This window comes from Homo sapiens, chromosome 20 (assembly GCF_000001405.40).
Source record: "Homo sapiens chromosome 20, GRCh38.p14 Primary Assembly".
Lineage (NCBI taxonomy): Eukaryota > Metazoa > Chordata > Mammalia > Primates > Hominidae > Homo > Homo sapiens.
Window position 1 is genome coordinate 8,306,802 of NC_000020.11, and position 18,493 is coordinate 8,325,294.

The window sequence follows — 18,493 nt, forward strand, 5'->3', positions numbered from 1 at the left end:
GCGGTGACTCTTTAAAAGCTAAACCATGAAATGTTACCATCAGAAAAGAGCTGCTGCTGCCATTTACAAGCATTAACCAAATCCTCAAGAATTAAGCTAGAACTGAGCACATTCTTAACAAGGTGGTTTCGAGTTTTCAGATACATCTTTATTTCTTCAGCTCATTTGCAAATACTTATCTCTGATTTAAATCATTCAAATGACTTCAGGAACACAATGGAAGCAGAGCAGAACTAAGTGTTTCCAACTGTCAGGTCTGGTGAGGGATGATGTAAAACGGGACATTTAGCTGGCATCCTGCATAGTCTTTAAATAGAATTAACAAAAGCTTCCACGTTTCAATGGCTAAAGGTAGTGTTTATTGTAAAGGCAGCATGCCTGGAGACCTAAGAGTGGGAGTAGGGGGGTGGGCATGGGCACGTGTGGGTGCAGGCAGGGCATTCTGAGGGGTCAGTTGAAAGGCTCTGTCTCTGGATTCAGCTTTAACTGGTTCTAAAATAATGAAGCAGAAATGACTTTCCTTCTCTCTCTGGTGTCAGCTTCAAATGAATTATGGATACTGAACCTACAGAGGTAATGCTGATTAAATAATTGAACAATCCATTGATTAACTACAGATTGTCAATTGGAATAATCTGTCGACGACCTGACTGCCCACCTTTAGCATTTAGACAGTATTTTAATGTTAATGAGGTTTTGAACTTTTTGTGCTTTTGGTTTGGTGGGGGTTTTTTTTGTTAGTTTTTGAGGGTTTTTGGTGGGTTTTTTATTTTTGGTTCAGCACTTCCCCACCTAATCCCAATTAATCATTAATTATGTTGTTAGTTAAGAACACTGGGCTGGGCACGGTGGCTCACACCTGTAATCCCAGCACTTTGGGAGGCCGAGGTGGGTGGATCACCTGAGGTCAGGTGTTCGAGACCAGCCTGGTCCAACATGGTAAAACCCTGTCTCTACTAAAAATACAAAAATTAGCCGGGCATAGTGGCACGCGCCTGTAATCCCAGCTACTCGGGAGGCTGAAGCAGGAGAATTGCTTGAACCTGGGAGGCAGATGTTGACAGTGAGCTAAGATAGTGTCACTGCACTCCAGCCTGGGCAACAGAGCAAGACTCCATCTCAAAACAAACAAACAAACAAACAAAACAAAAACACCTATACTTGACTTGTGGCTGTTTATTCCTTTTCTAGAGCTATTTGTTGTCTGCATTATAGAGAACTTTAAATATCAAAGTAGTTATTCCTGAACTTTTTACTTGAGTCAAATAAACAAAATGCATTGCTGCTTTGTGCTTTATGCAGAAGACCTTCTCCTGGTAAGGAGACAGTTTTTCATATTATAGCCAGCAATTAAAACCACATGAGATAGGAAGACCTTATTCTAATTCTTTCTGAGCAAAATACTTGCCCTTAATTTATTATTTAATAAACACATATATAGCACTTACCATCTGCCAAATTATTTATATTCTTTTAAATATTAACCAATTTAATCTTCATAGGGACTTTCTGAGTAAAGAACTATGAATGTTCAGCCGGGCGCAGTGGCTCATGCCTGTAATCCCAGCACTTCGGGAGGCCAAGGTGAGCGGATCACCTGAGGTCAGGAGTTCGAGACCAGCCTGGCCAACATGGTGAAACCCTCTCTCTAATAAAAACACAAAAATTAGCTGGGCACGGTGGCAGGTGCCTGTAATCCCAGCTACTCGGGAGGCTGAGGTAGGAGAATCACTTGAGCCTGGGAGGCAAAGGTTGCAGTGAGCCGAGACCGTGCCACTGCGCTGCAGTCTGGGCAACAGAGCGAGATTCCGTATATCAAAAAAAAAAAAAAAAAAAAAAAGGACAACTATGAATGTTCCTGTTTTACAGATGAGAAAACTGAAATACATGGAGGCTACATAACTTGTCAGAGATCACTAGTAAGTGGAAGAGGTGGGATTTGGACCCAGGTAGCGTCCATAGCTTAATCAGTGCTCTCTCAGTACTTTTTGGTCATAACTCTTAAATAAGTGTAATAATAATAAAAAATAATAATAATGTCTGCCATTCATAGCATTGTACTTCTTCTGCCTTTGTAGTGTAGTTCATTTTGAATCCCAGATAGGGACTCATAGATTTTTTTCTTTTTAATATTTAAAAAATCTCAGATTTGTTGACTTAAAATCCATATAGTTTTTTTTTTAAATGTGGACCTAGAACTGAGTATTATTGGGGGAAAAAAAACATTGTAAATTAGTAAGTAGTGTGGTTCATGGGATCATCAACTGTTAGCGCTGGGAGGAATAGTATTTTTCTGACCCATTTTATTTTGGGAATGAAGAATCTGAGGTGGGAGAATCTCTGGTTTTATACAACAGTAGGTTGCCCATGGCTTTCTTTCTGAGGAGACTGGGGGAGACACTTGGATAAGAGAAGGACTTCTGTGAACAAGGGGGTATGCTTTTCTAAAAATGATTTGATTAATCCTTGAAAATATCCTTCTACGAGGCACAGAGGGAAATCCTCCCTACCCCCGAATAATGCACAAGACCTTACTGGTCTACAAAGGTCCTGCAGATAGAACTAAGGACAAGAGAATTCCTATGCCGCTGTAATGGCCTACATAGGAAAAGCATTCTTCTTGTTGTTGAATAAGAAAACATAACATCCTCCAGATTTCTACCAGTGTTTTTCTTATGACTGGAAATAGTAAGTAGAACAATGTCATACTTGGACAACTATATTCAAACTGGCTAATAGTTTTGTTAATTGGGACTACAAATGAGAAATAGAAGTCCCATGATGACCTAGTCCATTGAAGTGTCAAGTTTAAGTCTCCTAGTTCAGAATCAAAGGGAGCAGCTATAGGGTGAGAAGCAATCGCGTCCATAATTCCGTTGACAGCAGTTTTCTTCGGGCTTTGATTCATAGCTCATCTGCTCCCTGCTGATTGCCCTGAGCTCAGCAATGCCATGCTGGTTTCCATGGTGCTGATTTGCATACCAAACCAGGACTTGTATTTTTGTGTTTGCCTCACACATTTCCAGTGCTAAGTGTTCTTCTAAGAAAGGGATTAGCACGCTAGCCAATTAAGGGAGTTTGCCAGAAATAAAGCACCCAGGGAATTTTTCTTCAGGTTATATATTGCTACTGCTATGCCTAAGTACTGATATGGTTGATTGGTTTTCTTAGGTCAGCAATGAGTCTTAAAGATAAAATTTCTACTGTGTAATCTTTAGTGTTTTCTTTTTTTTTTCAACTATCTTTTAATCAGTTTCAAACATTTCAGTGATTAAAAGAGAGATTTGTTGTGGTTTTGTTGTGGAGCAGAAATGGATTTCAAGGAGTTTACCTTCAGAGCTTTTGTTTTTGTTACGGTGGGTCTCTCTAGTGGAAAAAAAATTTCCCCATCCCTTTGGAAATATTTTCTTTAAAGGAAATCATGTTTTTAAAACAAATTATCGAAATCAGCTTTCTAATCAATTTGAATCATCTGAACAAAAGCTGGAAAATGTTTAGTTGTAAATTTCACCAATGAATACTACTTAGCAACACAAAGTTGAATGAAGTTCAACTGTTAGTCCCAAGCTTATGGATCAATCTCAAAACATGATGCTGAGTGAAAGAAGCCTTTTACCAAGAGTATATACTGTTTTATTGCATTTAGATGAATTTATAGGACAAACCAAATTAATCTATGGTGAAAAAAGAAACAGCAGTTGCCTCTGGGTGCTGGGACAGGGATGGCCTGGAAAGGGGTATTTGGGGGCTGTCTAGGGTGATGAAAATGGTCCATTAATCATCATTTATCTTTTGTTTGTTTTGTTTAATTTCCATTTTTATTTTAGATTCAGGGGTTACATGTGCAGGTTGGTTACAAGGATATATTGTGTGATGCTGATCCCGTCACCCAGATAGTTTTTCAGTCCTTGACCCCCTCCCACTCTCCCTCCTTTTGGAGCCCCCGTGTCTATCGTTTCCATCTTGATGTCTGTGTTTACCCAAGATTAACTCCCACTTATAAGTGAGAACATGTGATATTGGTTTTCTGGCTTTGTGTTAATTTGCTTAGGATTAAGGCCTCTAGCTGCATCCACGTTGCTGTAGAGGACATGATTTGTTATTTTTTGTGGCTGCTGCATAGTATTCTATGGTGTATATGCACCCCCACTGATGGGCACCTGGGTTGATGCCATGTCTTTTCTGTTGTGATTAGTGCTACAGTTTTATACTACTCTCACCAGCAATGAGTAAGCTTTCCCTTTTTTCTACAGCTTCACCAACATCTGTTATTTTTTGGCTTTTTAAGAATAAAAAATGGTCTATATTTTGTTAGGAGTTTAGGTTATGTGTGTGCATTCATCAAAACTTGTAAATGCCCACTTGGGATGTATTCATTTCACTGTATATAAATTTTACCTGAATGTAAAAAACAATCTGTAAAAATAATGTTCTTCATTGTAAAATCTAGAGTGATCGTTATCAAAGACTTAGAAAAACTAGAAACTGAGAAAAGGTGGTATGATTTGTGGCAGTTCAATTGGCAGAATTTAGAAATCATGAATAGATATGTTTATTCTGCTATTTCAAATACTTATGTGAATCTCTAGAGCCATGTGGGAAGATATCTGCTTCCTGAAGCTCTGCATTCATTTATAGTTTTATGTGGTCAGGGAGGATTTGATTGAGTTGGAAAGTGGATCATTTGTACTTCACTTTGATCCATCTTCCTTTTTAGAAACGAGAGAAAAGGCATCTGTGATTGTGCCTCTGATTGGGTGGCATCCAAAATCTTGTTTCTCAGGGTGAGCTTAGGGTTCATCTCTATTAAACGTATCATTTGTCAGACATTGGCATGTCTAGTGATTCGGAAAGCCCTTGGAGTAGCACAGAAATGCTATCATAACTCCGGAGTGATCTTTTGCCCTTACCAGTACTTTGGCTTTTTTAAGTTGCCACTTGAACTTGGGTAAGAGGCCAAGGAGGTGGTGGCTGAGGCAGTCAAATCTTGTGGAATGTGGCTGTCAATTGATGCCCTAAAGTTAAGGTTGGTCTGTATTCCACAATTGACAAAAACACATATACAGTTGTGGGCCCAGAATTGGAGTGATGAGAAGACCTTGCATAATGTCTACACAGGAGGAGAGCAAGCCTTTAAACTCCAACTGCCTTGTGAATGTTCTTCTCTTTTGATGTCCCCTCTTCCCTCTCACTGCTCAACCTCTAAGTCCATGCTGCTTGCATATACAGATAACGGTGAGTTGCAGATGATATTATAGGTGGCCTATCCAGATCCATGTCACCTGGCCTGTGCTTTTAGAGCCAGCTGCTGTGAGGATTAGTTGGGAAGACTCACAGCTGCCTTCACTCTCAGAGAGTTATCCTTGATTGCTGGAAGTTATCTAGCCAGGGTTGGTTATAGATCTACCCACCCACCAATGACATCCCCTCTCCCCGCCTCCTCACGTCCGCTTCTCAAGCGCGCATACAATTCTTCTACCCCGCAAAAGCCTACAGGACTATCCCATTCCCACAGTTAGGAATGACTCCATGGTACTTTTCATGGTCCAGAGCTCTCTGTGGGATCAGGCCAAAAACTGCACTTTATTTATCTTCTTCATGAAGATGGTGAAGAATCTCAACAGACCTTCAAAGAGATCAAGGCTTGCATCTAAGACAGGATCAATGATTGCCTCTAAGAAGAAATTACACCTGGATATTTGGGTACCTGTAATTAGGTGTTGGCTATGTTAATGTTTTGCCTGCTGTGAAGCTACTGCATGCGGTGCTTGGGTAGTGCCACTCTTCTTACATGAGGCAGAACCAAGAGGAATGACCCTCCCACATAGTAATGAAGGGGAAAAAACAAGGCAAAGCATGTTTATTTTTAACATTTTGCTCTTCTTAAAAGGGCATCGTTTACACCCATTCCATCTGTAGAACTTTCAACACAAGGGACACATACTGAAGTAATATAAACTCTGACCTTGAGTTATTAGAATATGCCAGAGACTTTGTAGTTCCTGAGAGCCACAAGCCTCCATCTTTTCTCTATAGAAAAAAAAAAAGGCTTAAATCATTGGTCAGCTCTCCTGTGCTTGAAATTGTCACCGTTTGAAGAGTGGCTGTCCTTTTCAAAATATTTGGCATTATAGAGTCACAGAAAAAGTGTTAACTATTCTGTGCATTTACTTATGTTGAAAATGATGTCATGTATATTTGTATTTAATAAAATGTGAAAGGAAAGGAAAATAAGTTCTTTTCAAAATAAAATTTTGGTGCCCCGGAAGGTTTCTCAGCCTGCCTGCAGCATGAGTTTTACTTAAAGCAAAAAGCACTAGCATTTTTTTTAATATAATGGGATGCAATAGAAGATAACTATATCAATCACCTATTTGTAAAATAGTGCTGTGTAACAAACTATCTCAAATTAAAATAATTAAATTAGCTCAGGTATTTTTAGTTTGTCAACATAGACTGGGCTCAGCTGGCAGTTCTTCTGGTTCTGGCTGGGCTCGCATGTGCCTGGCAGCTGGCTGGTGTTTGAGATGATGGAGACAATGAAGCTACATGGTTCTCATTCTCCAGCAGGCCACTCTGAGCATGTTCTCATGGTGGTGACAGAAGAGCAAAGATGAGAGCAAGCAAGGCACTTACACCCTTTCAAGCCTCCACCTGTGTCTTACTTCCTAAGATCTTATTGACTAAAGAATGTCACCTAGTAAAGCATAAGGTCACTGTAGGAGGTCAATACAAGATTAATGATCAAATATGTGAATGCTGGGAGGAGCAAAGAATTGGACACATTGAGAAAATCTACCTTATACAAGAATATACATACATAGGAAATTTTATTAAGTGAAACATGAAACTCACTAGCTAGAACCCCAAAGCTACAATGTACTTCACATTTTCTCTCTGTTTTCTTTCCAGAATCTTGCTCCTACTCACTGACCTTGACCTTTCTCATTTTGAACACTTCATTTCTGTTTCTTGGAATATCTGTTTTTCTTTTCTATCCAAATCCAAAATATTCCTCAAAGCCCAGCTCAAGTTTATACTTTCCTGGAAGCCTAATATCTGTGTCATTGTTCAAGTTTGTTTTTATATTACTTTATAGTCATGATTATTTTTATCTGTATAACAATGTCTTGTTGCTTCAATGTAGTCTAAGCTCCTTCAAGTAAGGAACCATGTCTTATACTTACTTGACTCTCCCGAAGTAGGCTTATTGTATAGTAAGAGTTTAATAGTAAGTTGATTGACAGGTAGTTCCATTTTCAAAGTTCTATGCTAATCCCTTTTTTCTTTGTCTCTGCCAACATTATCTTCCTCTACATCTGAGATGGCATCTCGAGAGTCATCTTCAGTCCATTAGTAACAGCTGTCTTGGAGAATTATATAAAGAACAACTCTAGCCATAACTAGGAAAGTTGGAATGAGAGCTACCATAGATTAGTAATGTCTGCCATAAATAGAGGAAGGGGATAGGCCATTCATATTTACTACCAAAATAGTTCTTAATTTTTTTTCGGAGTTGTATCTTATCTTCTAAGCTCAGTGGAGAAATAGTAATGATATTCATTGAAGGGAAATGATAGTGATGGCAAAATATCAGAATATATGTAAGAAGCCATATATTCAGGAAAAATCACTTAATAATAGGCAGTATTATGCCCACAGAAGGGCTTTCAGCCAACAGACTTGACTTCAAATTCTGGTTCTGCTGATTACTATCACTGTGACTTTAGGCAAGCTATATAACCTTTGTCTGCCTCAGTTTCCCTATGTGCTAATAAATGGCACCAAATGAGGGTTGTTTTGAGGACTTAATGAATTAATATACTCAAAACGCTTAGCATTTGTCTTGGCCCATAGTAAGCACTGAATAAAATACTAGCTACTATTTTTTATTAAGTAGTGGTAAAAATTACAAATAGGTAAAACATACCTTTAAAGTTAAGATACAATGTAACTCCTCCATTTGAAATCTTAGATGAGGGCAGTTGATGAGAGGAAGGGGAGGTGAGTGACCCTGGGCCTAACAGAGAGCTAGGCTATTCCTATGATACCAGGAACAACTTTGAGCAATGATTTTGCCAGCTACTGGCACTTTATTTCAGTCATATTTAATTAGAGACACAGAGCCACTAATCAAGATTGGTTACCGGATTTGACCTTATGCAATTGTGGAAGCTATTAAACAGTCCCTATGAGTCTGTAGTCTTCACATCTGAGGATGGAGCTCAAAGCCAACAGGGAAGGAAGGATGGATATAAAGTGGGGGAGAGCAAGGCAAGCTGGGCTCATGAGCTAGAGCCAGACCTTAGGAGAACAGACTGGAACTCAGGTCAGTTCTTACTTCTTCCATCCTTGGACTAAGCAGGGATCCTGTAGGAGAAGCTGGCTCCTTCGTCATGGAGCTGAACATATGTCTGACCGAGGAAGTAACATATATGTAGGGACAGAAAAGGGTGAAGCAATTGCATGCAAAATAAGTGAGCCACCAAAAAAGTGACAAAGGGCACCTGCCCTGACCTGAGTGGGAAGAGAAGTGGGGACACTTTAGTTTGTTTTTCCAGATTTTCTGCAAAATGTCTCTTGTGGCTCATGGTAATCATAAACAGTGGGAAATCTTGTTAACCCTAGTTAAGCTGACACATTTTGAAGAGTCACCATACTCCTCTAGTGACCATGTGGTACAACAGAAAGAGAAATAACTGGCCTTCAAGTCAAAAGATCTGGAAGTGTAACCTTGGCCAAAATCACTTACCCTTTCTCACTTGTGTTCTTGTGTTCTTAGTTTTCTTATGTATAAAATGAGGGAGGAAGGTGGGCTTTTTCATCCTTAAGGTCCCTTCCAGCTCTTAGTCTGTAATTTTGTCACCTTACTGCCTACTTTCATTAAGTTTCTTGTGTCTGCCGGTCTTGCTTACATATTTCCTGCTATTCTGCCCCAAGACAGCCAGCCAAGCCAAAATGAGCGTAGGCAAGGGAAAGAAGCCTGAGTGTTTGCCTAAACACTTAGGGCTGCTGAAGTCAGATGCTGAGGGCAAAGGGCAACCGTAAGTGATGGAATTAAATGTTTACTGTGTTAACCGTTGACCACTCATGGATTTCAGAGAAAGCTGACCATATTGATTGGAGTTTTCACTCCTGTTTTTCTAATGATATGCAATCTTAACTAAATCTGCCAGCTCTCAGGGGGTTGAACGCTATTCAGCAACATTAATTTCTTTGCCTACTTCCAGTTACCAGCAATTATAATCTTGGCAGTTTTACTCACCTTGAATAAGCACTTGTATGCTTTATTGATATCTGGCAGAGCTGGCTCCTTCCATGCAAAGACCCACTTATGTTTCTGACACTGCTAACTCTACAAAGCGCTCAAGCTGCAGATCAACATTTGTTGGACATTCTGGGGGAAGATGTTATTTCTGAATATGGCAGGACAGAAAGTTCCAAGAAAGCTCAAAGAAATTGTGTTTATATGCTCTTAGACACATTTTTTTCCATCCCCTCCCCTCAAAATCAGTGAATGAGCCAGTCCTGAAAGACACTTGGCACAGTTTCACAGTCTCTTATTGACAATTTCCTTGCTGGGAATTCACCTAGCCTGGAGAGAGCGATCTTGCCTGTAATGACTCCTTCTTTATAGCATACAATCAATTAGTGCTTATCCAATATTTAAGACCCAGCCCCTCACGCCAATTCAGGACAGTTCTGTTGGTCAGTCTCAACCCGGAGTTCCCATGAGATTGGCCGAGACTTCTATGGCAACTGTAACACAGCCAAACTTCTGCTTTTACCCCAACTACTCCCTTCCATAGTTATTAATCCCAGAACTATTCTCTAATAAATGCCTATATACAAACCCCTATCTCCGGGTTTACTTTTCCAAGGAATCAGTGATATAACTGCCATGACAATGAAAGAGATCAAAATTTGGGAGACAGAAAGACGAGGGGTGGGAAGTTGAATTTTTTTCCTCATTTATAACATGATCTGGTTGGGAGGATTCAAGGCAGACCAGTTAGTACAGATCCCCAGTCCCTTTTGGGGATCATAGGACTCTTGTTTTATCCCCTCACGGCATTTATCACCTTCTCTCATAAAAAATTTATTTATTTATTATGTTTTATGTTGTTTGCCTACTTTCTGTCTATACCCACCCCCGGCCCAGATACCCTCAAACAAGAAAGTAAAACCCACCAAGATGAAGTTCTTTGGTTTGTTCACCAGTGGATTTCAAACACATAATAGATGGCAATAAATGCTAAGTGAATGAATGAATGAATGAGTGAATGAATACAGTCAGGGAGAAGAGCTGGGAGGCCATGACAGTAATGTAGGTGAGCAGGGATAGAGGCTGAATGACATCAAAGAATGGGGATGAGAAGTGGATAGAGTCTAAGGTTTTGTGGATAATAGAATGCATAAAAGTGCTTTAGAAACACATAAAGTTCTCACACTTGAGGGTACATCAGATTCCCTTGGAGGGCCTCTTAAAACACAGATTACTGGGCCCTATCCCCAGAATGGATGATTCTGGATGTCTGTAATCAAAGTCCCGTTTGGGTCATTATTTATTTTAGCAACATCCACCATCATAGATTGTGAGCCCCATGGTAGGAGGGGCTGTGCCACTCTGATCACACAGGCTGTCTTTCATCACTAGTGGAGTGTTTGGCACAAGCTAGTACTCAGCAAGATTTGTTGAGTGAGTAATTTACACCCCCCCATCCCCCCGACACACACACACAACACCATGCAAATCTATGCAATCAGGGCACTTGCAAATCCTTAGTATTATCAAAAGAAAAATGCAAATTCTAAGGCATTCTTATGCCCCAGTTTTGACCAGAATTGACCTGTGAAGATGAGCTCAACATCCAATCCAGATTATTCTTAGTGCTGTTCAGAGTGGGAGGATCAACAGCCTCTGCTGGTGTATGCTCTCACTAATCATTATCCTTATTTCCAGTTAATAAGGTTTTTGTCTATTTTATTCATTGTAGAAATAAAGAAAAGAGTTAGTGTTGACCTTGTAACCATAAAGCTTCATAGTTTTAAAGTCAATTATTAAATAACCCATTCATCTTTCTTCTTTTAGTTTGTTTGAAACTCTCTTTTTTTAAAATTATTTTCTCCTGGGCACTACTGGCAACATTTATTTTTCTTCCATTGAGAATTCATTAAGAATTATTTCTTTTCTTTTTTTTTTTTGGAAATTTATCTAACATCTCAACTTCTTTATTGGAATACAGAGACCAACACTGAACTTGGAATTCATAAGTAAAATGGCAGTTACAACCAGATATTATTTCTCTTAAGCCTTATCTCTGTGATGCATCCTAGTATTCATAACTAGGTCTTAATCAAAAAATTATTTTGTAAATTTTTAGACAGTGTATGATGTTATATGACTTCTAGGACTTAAAAGTCTTTTGACTTTTAAAAGTCAGAGATATGTATTTTCCTTTTTGACCTTACAGTCTACCACATTCATTATTAATTCCTAACCTGATTTTCTAGTGGGAGAAGGGGGAGGAATGAAACTTTCAAATAATGTAATGCACCTGAATTAAGACCATTTTGACTAGTCAAATGCAGATATGCAGATATTTTAGGCCTTCTGAACCTTTCATTTCATAGAAATAGAAATTGCCCCCCCCCTTTTTCTTTGGTAGTCATCCAGCTTGTTTCTCTGTTGTACAAATAAAACAGAAATTAGGACAGCGCTGAGATTGTTTTATTCATCCCTGAGTTCTCAGAGGTTAGCACAATACCTTCCACATAGAAGATGCACGGAAAATGTTTGTTGAATGATTACCAATAATGAAGTTTTATTATCATTTTTATCCAAGGGCACTGTATTTCATTCTGTCTATACCCACTCCTGTGTTTATTTTTTTTGGGTTGTGTGACAATATTATGTTCCTGGAAAAGCAACTAAGAAAAAATTGAAAAAATAAATGTTTTCAGTGGGCCAATAAGATGGTTACTTTTGTGCATATTTTTGTGGTCTGATGTTCAAATAATACAATAGTCAGAGAATAAAATCCTTAAAAATAATGATTTATAATCTATTAAGTGTCAAAAGTGAGAGTAGTCATCCCTTCTTACTTTTATAAAATTGTCACTCTTTTTTGTTTGGTAAAAGTGATATCTTTTTACCAGCCCTTCCAACAGCTAATTCCTTCCACTGCCACTTAAAGTAGTCTGTGTTTAGCTGTATTACATTTATACCTACTCAACTTATCTTTTAGTAATGTAGTGTGTATTATATATAGGCACCCATACACATATGTTTAATTATGCAATGACTGCTTTCTTACAGCTTCTAGGACATGGGTCTTAGAGTCACAAAACCTAGTGTTGAAATCTTACTTCTATTATTGCATCAGTTATTTACTGCCAAATAATGTTGCATAACTAATTACTCCCAACCTCAGTGGCTTACGATAATAAGCATTTATTTAGCTCATGTATCTGTAGGTTGGAAATTTGAGTGGGGATCACCTGGGCAATTCTGGTCTTCTGGGCTGGCTCACTCATATGTCTGGCGAGTAGCTGACTTCTGTGATGGGGTGACTGGGTCATGTGTCTCTCATCATCCAGAAGGCTAGCCCAAGATTGTTCACATGGTCGCTGGGCAGGGCTCTGAGAGAGAGTGGAGAGCATCAGGCCCTTTGAGACCTAGGCTCAGCATGACACACTGTCACTCTGGTGCATTCTTGGCAAAGAAAAAAAAAAATTGCAAAGCTAGCTAGAATGAAGACTCCACTTTTTGAAGGCAAATGGTGTTGAGTACAAGAAGGAGGGGGTGACTTAGGGCCATCTATGTAGTCCACCAGAGCTATTCACAAGCTGACTTGGAACAGTTTATTCCAACCTTGGCTAGATAAACAAGGAGAGTTCATGCTTTTCTTTTTCTTATTGTGACCCCATGGAGGTGCATTACTCTAGTGAAATAAAGATTCTCCTTATTTACCACCAAGACATGGGAGTGAACCAGCATACATAATGTCACTATCCAACACTGGGAGGAAAGGAGAAGCCTCTTGGGGTGGGGGGAAGGGGGAGGGATAGCATTAGGAGATATACCTAATGCTAAATGATGAGTTAATGGGTGCAGCACACCAACATGGCACATGTATACATAAGTAACAAAACTGCACGTTGTACACATGCACCCTAAAACTTAAAGTATAATAATAATAAAATTTTTTAAAAAAAGAAAGAAAGTGTTTAGCACGAGGTTTTGGGTGAAGAAGATGAGACATGTGAGGTCCGGGGGCATGGCATTTTGGCTGCCTAGATATCCCAGGATTTAGGGGAATGCATAACTTTCTCACTAAGTATATGATGAATGAGTAAATATGCTTCTCTATATGTTGTTATTGTGTTGTTGTTAATAAAGTGTGTTTTTCACACTGTAATCTTTCAGAGTAACACAGACTCATATACATATGAAATTGAGGACTGTGGGTATCAACTACAAAACATCCACGTAATAGCAGTTAATACTATTTGTTACATGCCAGACTCAGTTCTAGGAGCTCCCTTCTGGTAACACAGTTAATTTTTAGGAGGTAAGTATTAGGTAATATAAACTTCCCTATTTTGGAGATGAGGAAATTAGGTTCCTAGACATTAATTGTGTGTCCCGAAGTGACACAGCTAATAAATGGCAATGGCAAGATTTGCCCTCAGGCAGGAAAGCTCCAGGCTCAGAACCCTAAACCCCTATTCTACAGCTGTGGCTTCAGTTAGGGTTTCCATATGTGGTCACTGTTGTAATTCTGGCTTTCTTCCTTTGAACCAACTCTCAGGAAAACCAAACCATGACTTGCATGTTGTTCCATGGGTGTTTTTCATCCTTCTCTGGCTTTGTCTTGACAAAGTCATTTGGTACATATCTAATAAGACTTTCCTTTGCCATCCATTCACGTGTCATCAAGGAATGCAAAACAGTTTTAATGCAAAATACTTGTAATATTAGGACAGAAAGAAAGAAGAAAGAAAGAAAGAAAGGGAGGGAGGGAGAGAGGGAGGGAGGGAGGGAGGGAAAGAGAGAGAAAGAAAAGAAAGAAAAAGGAAAGAAAGAAAGAGAGAAGAAGAAAAGAAGAAGAGGAAGAAGAGGAAGAAGAAGAGAAGAAAAGGAAGGAAGGAAAAGAAAGAAAGGGAAAATAGAAAAGGAAGGAAAGAAGAAAGGGAAGTAAAACAGGGAGGGAGATAAAGAAAGAAAGAGAGAGAGGAGAAAAAAGTATAATGGATTCCAATATTTTTCTGTCATCCTCAATGTTCGGCTCATACTCTGTACTTCTGTGTTAGCAAACATAATTGAAATAAACCGTTTAGGTAGTAAGCTAATTCTGCAGCATTCAAAAAAGACAGCGTGCAATACTCACAATTTGCAAAACTGTTCTCCTTTTTTTGTTTGCATAGGTTTATACATGTTCCCTTTTTATAGCACAATGTAAACACATGTGAGAAAAACTGATTTGAAATAGATTTTAAACCAGGCAGCCCTTTTGCTGTTTCCTAATTGGTATTCATCATACCTCTTATTGTTGTGTTCTAAGCATTTCGTTCATTTGTTTTTCAGTCCTCAGTTTCCTCATATAAACTTCCATGATCTGCTGCCTAAGAATTTGGTATCTGTTAATGAAAATCAACTTTTAAAATAAGCATTCTTCCTGCCCTGGCAATTAGGAGAACCTTTGAAGACATTGGGGGAGTGATATGGGTCCTGGGATGGGAACAGTAGGATTCTGATAACAAGCCAAAGAGATCAGAAATTCCTTTAAGTATTTTACCGGTACCCCATAGTCCTCAAAATCACATACACAAAATATCATGGGTACAGATCAACAACAAACTTAGACTGGCTTTATAACAGTGCAAGGTCTAAAACTTTGTTACCAAGTCACCAAAATATTCCCAAATAAGTAAAAATCCCACATTAAATGCCACCATCCTTTGTCTCCTCTCTCCCCCGCATTGGGTTCTGGAGGACTTTGGTCATCATAGCCGACATGTCAGTGTCCCCTCGATAGACATTCCCTTGGCATGCAGTATATACTGCTAGCATCTTGTTATAAGTACCTGTGGCTTTCTAAGAGATTTCTCTGGGTTCCACAATGTTTTCAGTTACATGCTGGGCATGCTGAAAGTATCAAGGAATTAAAGCTTCTGGAAGCAGCCGTCCACTAGTTACTAAGGGATTTGATAGAAAAATACCCCAGGTCCATCAGGTTTTAGTAGGGGCGGATCTGAGGCATGTTCTCCTGATCTAGAATTCCCCAGCAGAACTGAGCCCCCATTGCCAACAATGGTTGCCTATTTATTAATATTCTTTATTTTGGCTTCTTTCTCTTCATTGTCTTGTATTCCTGCTCACCTGTCATTGCTTCCTGGGGTTCCTTTCCCCAGATAATCTCCCTCCACTTCAGCTCTAATTCAGTGTGTTTCTGGGAGGACTTTATAGAAGACATCTACCATAATATTACAAAAATTAAATTACTGAAGCTATTCAAATTATTTTCTGATATTTTCATTCTGTCCTTTTCTTACTTCTATCAACCCATCCCCATGTGTCTTTTTTCCCTGCAGTCCAAGATTATTTAGCCCCATCCTACAAGGTCAAGTATTTTATACACCAGCTAAGGAGTAAAGTGTAAAATTTTTAAAAAAAATCAGTAGGTAGAATATTACACTGGAATCTTAATAGTTCTTGCTGATAGTGCCCTTAAGGTTAAAAAAAAAAAACTCATTAAATTCCAAGAGAGAAGATGGTTATAAAAACTGAATGAAAAGATAGAAGTTATTCCACAAGCATTTCTTAAATTAGTTTGTTAAGAGCCTTAGATCATCAGACATCAAGTAGAAAAACACTTATCCAAATCTACAGAAAGCATTTCTCAGAAAGTGAAAGAATGCAGAAATTTACTTCCAAAGTTTTGAATTAAACATGACAGAAGAAGGCATCAATTTGGAAAACTTTCTCAGAACTCTCCCTTGCTTGGTAGAGTGGGCAGCTTACTTCATCTGTCAGAGGAAAGGAAGTAGCTGTTACTGACCAGACGACATGTGTTGAATTGTTTGAGGCTGTACCGCATGTCAAGCTTTGACAGAACTGACATAAAAAATATACCTCACATTGTGTTAGAATTGAAGAGAACAGCTCTTGTTCATTAGAAGGTGAGGCTCTTCAAAGAAGCTTCCTGATGCAGCCCGATCTCCAGCTCACAGAATGAAAAGGGTTTCCTATAAATCTCAGTTAACTGATTGCTTTGGAGACACAGTCCCAAGAGGGATTTGAAGCCAGCATAAACTTGATTATATGCACAGCTTGCGGGATTTGGTCATTCTCTTTCTTTCGGATATGTTTTGTGTTCTTTCTAAAATATAGTCAGTGATATTTTAAGTTGTTTATAAGGTATTTATAGGAAAATTTATTTATAAAATACACAATGTTCCAATTATCAATTGCTGTATAACATAACATCCCAAACTTAGTGGTATAAAACAATAACCATCATTTGTTGTTATTATCTATTGTGGTTCTGTGGGTCAACTAGTCCAGGCTAGATAATAATCTTTCCACGTCCCTCAGGAATCTGCATTCAGAGGATGCCTGGGGCTAGAGCATCTCAAAAGCTTCCTTCCCCACTCACATATCTGTTGTCTTGTCTAGGGAGACCCAAACAGCTGGGCATTGGTGTCTATTCCTATAAACTCTCTCCTTATGGCCTCTCCAGCAGGATGGATTCAGGATAGTAGGGCTTCTCATTCGGAGGTTCAAGGCTCCAAAGATTCATGTCCTATGAGGGAGCACCAGGCAATAGCTGTGTTGCCCTTCACAATCTAGGCTTCTCTAGGTTAGAAGCAAGTCACTAAAGCAGCCTATATTCAAGGAAGGGGCATCGATTTTACCTCTTGATGGAAGAATTGTCAAGGAATTTGCAGACTTTTTTTAACCATTACATTTAATGATTACCTTTCATCATCATAGGGCCTTATTGGTATTTGCAAGCCTAGTTCACTTAACCTAATACCATGCTTAGTCATTGCCAAAAAAAAAAAAAATCTGGCTAATTTAATGTATCAACAATTATAATATAGTGATGCTTTTACTAATTTTTATGCTCTATTCAACTATCCTTTAAAATATACTTATCTAGAGGGAAGAGTTAAGTGAGAAAACTGAAGATTTAGAAGTATGATGTTGATTTCTAAATCAAGAAAAACATATGTACTATTGCTTTTTCACTGAATTAAACTGATTTTTACAGAGTGACTGCTATAATCATAACACTGGGCTAGACTACTGTGATTAATACAGGTAAGTAAAGACGGTTTTAAAATTATGAACAGAACTTAGTCCTAGTTCACAGTCTCTAAACTGGTAGGGGTGTGTGTGTGTGTGTGTGTGTGTGTGTGTGTGTGTGTGTGAAACTACGTGACAAGGATTATTTACACACCATTATAGAAGTCACACTAATTAAATCTAATGAAAGACATGTATTCAGTTTTGATATTTTCCGTAAGAGTCAGGCAAAAGTTCCCAACAAACTTCTAAATCTATAATCAATCCAAAGGAAATTATAAACAATAGGCTTTGTATAGAGAGAGTAGGTGGATCATATTAGGCAATAATCACATAGTTGATTTCTTACTATAAATTATGATTTATGTATCATAAATAGCATACAAATGTTTGTTAAATGAATGAGATCTTACAAACTATTACTGGGAAAATCTTTAATTGGCAGCTCTTCTCTGATACGGGGACTCCAAGGGTCCTTGGAACCTGGGGACTGGGGACTTCCTGATTATTTTCAAGTAGAAGTGTTTGATTTATAGTTGAAAGAGAATAAGACCATTAATGTTCTCTCATTTTTTTTAAATAAAAGTGTAAGCTCTGCCAAGGGGCATTTTCTCATTGGCTTTCAGTGTTATTTTGGTCTCATGAATTCATAAACATCAGCATCTCTACCTATTTCCAAAGAAAAAAAATTTACTTATGCTCAAATCCTTGTCACAGCCACTGCTTCTAGGGAAACATAAACTAAGGCAGGGTGATTGCAGTTCTGGGTATTTGAAAGAGGTTCTTATGGATTTTTCCATGTGGGAATAACGTCTAAGTAATTTTCCAAGAATGAAAATACTAAAGTTTTTGATAATTAAAGATACTGACACAGTACAGACACAAACAGGTTTTTCGGGTGCTTTTCTTGTGAAGCTTTGCATTTAAACTGAAGTTTTATTCATGTAATAATCATGCCCCTACTATTCGCAGGAGTAGGAATAATGGGAGTTAACAGGTGAGGCAGAAAAGAAAGGACATTTCAGAGATGCTCTGCAATAAAGAAGTGACTGAAAACTATAGCACTGGTTTTTCTTGGTTGGATGAATTAATGCACATTCTGAAAAACAGTGTTTTAGATTTCAAGTTCCAGGTCTTCCAGAAGGAGCTATCATCTGAGCTAAGATTGATGCATTCTAG

At 38.5% G+C, this 18,493-nt stretch overlaps 1 protein-coding gene across 2 annotated transcripts in view, besides 1 other annotated feature; it reads left to right on the forward strand.

Moving 5' to 3' along the window:
• PLCB1 (phospholipase C beta 1) overlaps nucleotides 1-18,493 on the forward strand; it is a 752,635-nt gene that overhangs the window by 174,536 nt on the left and 559,606 nt on the right. The window lies entirely within an intron of this gene.
• Nucleotides 2,589-3,198: an enhancer, noted in NCBI's record as "NANOG hESC enhancer chr20:8290037-8290646 (GRCh37/hg19 assembly coordinates)". NCBI's record gives its function as "activates a minimal SCP1, AML or CMV promoter by ChIP-STARR-seq in primed H9 embryonic stem cells {active_cell/tissue: H9 hESC(primed)}" and the evidence as "EXISTENCE:reporter gene assay evidence [ECO:0000049][PMID:30033119]".